At 45.8% G+C, this 3,596-nt stretch overlaps 1 annotated feature.

Moving 5' to 3' along the window:
* Positions 886-2,085: an enhancer, noted in NCBI's record as "BRD4-independent group 4 enhancer chr17:55273397-55274596 (GRCh37/hg19 assembly coordinates)". NCBI's record gives its function as "activates an origin of replication core promoter dependent on BRD2, P300/CBP, MED14 and CDK7 cofactors, and independent of BRD4, by STARR-seq in HCT116 cells {active_cell/tissue: HCT116}" and the evidence as "EXISTENCE:reporter gene assay evidence [ECO:0000049][PMID:35650434]".

Genomic DNA, 3,596 nt, shown 5'->3' on the forward strand with positions numbered 1-3,596 from the left:
CTCCCACCTCCACCTCCCATGTGGGTGGGACTACAGGTGTGCACCACCACACCTGGCTAATTTTTGTATTTTTTGTAGAGACAGAGTTTTGCCATGTTGCCCAGGCTGGTCTCAAACTCCTGAGCTCAAGCAATCCGCCCACCTCAGCCTCCCAAAGTGCTAGGATTACAGGCGTGAGCCACCATGCCCAGCCTATCCAGAGTCTTGACATCAAGATAGATCACAGAGTCCTAGAGGAGTGAGATTGTTGCCACCTGGACAGCATGTGACCCTAACTCAAGGATTTGTCGCTTCATGTTCAACCTTTGATCCTAACAAGGTACCCATGAACAGATTTAATAGAATGGTGTTCACTGGCAGTAAGAAGTTGATCCAGGTGGGGCCTGGTGGCTCATGCCTGTAATCCCAGCACTTTGGGAGGCCGAGGTGGGTGGGTCGCTTGAGGCCAGGAGTTCGAGACAAGCCTGGCCAACATGGTGAAACTCTGTCTCTACTAAAATACAAAAAAATTGCCGGGTGTGGTGGTGCATGCTGGTGATCCCAGCTACTCGGGAGGCTGAGGCATGAGAATCACTTGAACCCAGGAGTTGGAGGTTGCAGTGATCCGAGATTGCACCACTGCACTCCAGCTTGGGTGACAGAGGGAGACCCTGTCTCAAAAAAAAAAGTAAGAAGTTGATTCAGGTTAGAAGCATGGATTTCCAAAGAACTTGTGGACTTCATAAAGACGTAAGAAACCCCAAGATCATCTGCAAGACTTTTAGGATGACTCATTACCACATGCTGTCCTGAAATGAAGATGTTGTATTTGGCTCCCTGGTATCAAAGGCACTTTCTCTCAAAGTGAGAATAGATTAAGCAGAGGCTCGAGTCACCTCTATGTATCAGTTAGTTACTGTTGTGTAACAAAACACCCCCAAACTTCATGGCTTATTAAAGCAAACAGTTCTTATTCCTCACAGGTCATCTATGGAACAATTGTGGTTTCTTCTGGTCTGGGCTAGACTAGGCTGTTTATGGCATGGCTGGCTCACGCCTCTCTTGCCAGCTGGCAGGTTGGCTGGGGGCTGGCTGGTCTTGGATGGCTTCACTCATATGTTTGGTGATTGGCTGGCTTTTGGCTGCAGCGATGGCAGTGACTGAGTCATGAATCTCTCTGTATCTAGCGGGCTAGCCTAGGCTTGTTCCCTTGGTGGTGGCAGAGTTCCCAGAGAATGCGTAGAAGTGTGAATCCTGGCCTCGGAACTGGCTCAGTGTCACTTTTACCTCCATTCCATCAGCCAAAGCAATCCATAAGGTCAGCATGAATTCAAGGACAGGGGAAATAAACTCCATCTCTTGATGGGAGGACCTGCAAAATCACATCATCAATGGTGTGGGTAAAGGCAGGTTTGGAGCATTGGAGCCATATTTGTAGACAGCCTACACAAATGGGTTGGCTGTATTTTCAAGATGGCTGACTTGGGCCAGGGTTACAATGTGTGACCTGGAACTGAGGCCATCTCTGTATGAAACGAGTATACCATAGAGGAATCAGACACATAGCCCTAACCTCAATGGGCCTGTGTCCCTAAGCCAGCAACTGTAGGTCCAAAGTGTTTCCCATTTCAAAATATTACCTACGATTTCTTCTCTCAATACCCTTGTGAGTGTTTCCTGCATTTTGCAGTAAAGGGAACCACAAAATAAGGGCTTGGGGCTATTTTTTTTTTGACAGATATTTCTTTTTGAAATAAGGTTTAAACCAATCAAACATTCTTCTTTGGAAACAACTGATTGCAATATTTCTACGCTATAGTTTCACTGATTCCTGCTGACTTCCTAAGGTACTGCACACATGGAAGAGGTAAGGAGAGTAAGCCAAGCTTTGTGGTTTAAAGGCTATAAATCAAATTTTGTAAATCTAGGGCACAAATGTGACCTACTAAGGACTGTAGTGAACCGTGGTGCCCCATCCAGTTATTGAGAGCAAGGCTTTCAAGCATTCAACTTGGCTGTATCAGTTGGTCTTGAATCATGTCCTTGAATATGTCTAGAGCCGCCTACACAGACCCATGATGCTGCCATCTCTGGGAGAAAAGAAGCAGCATTCGTGAGGTGGCTAGATTCCCTGATCAATCCACCCCACCCCATGGTGATACAATAAAAAAAAGAAAAGTTGCTTCTTAGGCTGGGCATGGTGGCTTGCGCCTGTAATCCTAGCATTTTAGGAGGCCGAGGCAGGTGAATCGCTTGAGCTCAGGAGTTCGAGACTAACCTGGGCAACATGGCGAAACTCCGTCTCTACAAAAAATACAAAAATTAGCCAGGTGTGGTGGCGTGCACTTGTACTTCCAGCTACTTGGGGGGCTGAGGCAGGAGGATCGCTTGAACCTGGGCGGTCAAGGCTGCAGTAAGCTATCACACCACTGCACTCTAGCCTGGATGACAAAGTGAGAACCTGCCTTAAAAAAAAAAAAAGAAGTTTCTTCTTACTGAAAAGTCAATGTGGCAATTATTGCTGGTTACTTACCCAATAGCTGTTCCTTACTGCCCCCACACACTTTGCTTTCTTCCAGGCTAACAGAACCCTAATTTGGTTTCAGTACAAGTAGCAATGCGTTTTGGCAAGATAGGACCCTCCATTTCCCCAGAGAATGAACTGTGACTGGTCCAAGGTAACCACTGTACTCCCTTTTTCCTGTGGTAATGACTGGTTTCAGGGTGGACATGTGACCTAATTCTGGCCAATAATACTAAGAGGGAGTCTGCCAGGGGCTTCTGGGAAAGATTTCTTCTTGATAAAAAAGAGAGGTGAACTAAGAGAATCCTTCATCCCTTCCTTCCTGCTTTTAGACTTTATTTCTAGATGAAGAAAAGTGATGTTTGGAGATGTCGCAGCCATCTCATCACCACAAAGGGAGGGCTAAGAGAATCTCTCAGAAATGGACCCGAGCCCTGACATTGTGATGCTGAGCCAGCCTGGAACCAGGGATGGAGTGTAGCCGGAAGTATGATCCAGCAGCAATGGTTGTTTAAGGCTAGGCTTTATTCTGACTGGTCAGGCTTCGGTTCTCATTTGTCAATGTCTGGGACAGATTGGTTGTTAAGTATTTCGAATACCCCTTGGTTGGAATCAGTGCCTCTGGATTTATTGGTATGTAATGAAAATAAACACTTTTTTAAAAAGCACTTAACTGGATATTCAGTTACTTGCAGCCAAAAGCTTTCTAACTACATAGTTTGGGTTCACAGAACCCAGTCACATCTGAACTGCATCTGTGGGGACTTCACTTGCACAGCTTTGGGGGACTGCAGCCCTGTTAGCATCTATCTCATTCCTTCCTCACCACCACTCCCGCCCCCTACCCATTGTTAGGTAGCAATAATGTCTTTCTGTGTTTATTTTTTATATCAGGTGGTGGTGGGAGGGTAAAGGCAAACTGTCTAATATCTGTGGCCTGGAAGAGAAAGCTATTGTAGCTCTATCAGTGTACTGTATCTGCTCTTCATGGAAGAGTCGAGATAGAAATTTATCCTCTCTGGCAGAATGTAGGAGATTTAGCTAACTTCTACCTAATCTATCCATTTGCTCTTTTGCTATACCATTTGATTAG

Source organism: Homo sapiens, chromosome 17 (genome assembly GCF_000001405.40).
Source record: "Homo sapiens chromosome 17, GRCh38.p14 Primary Assembly".
In the NCBI taxonomy this organism is placed as follows: Eukaryota; Metazoa; Chordata; class Mammalia; order Primates; family Hominidae; genus Homo; species Homo sapiens.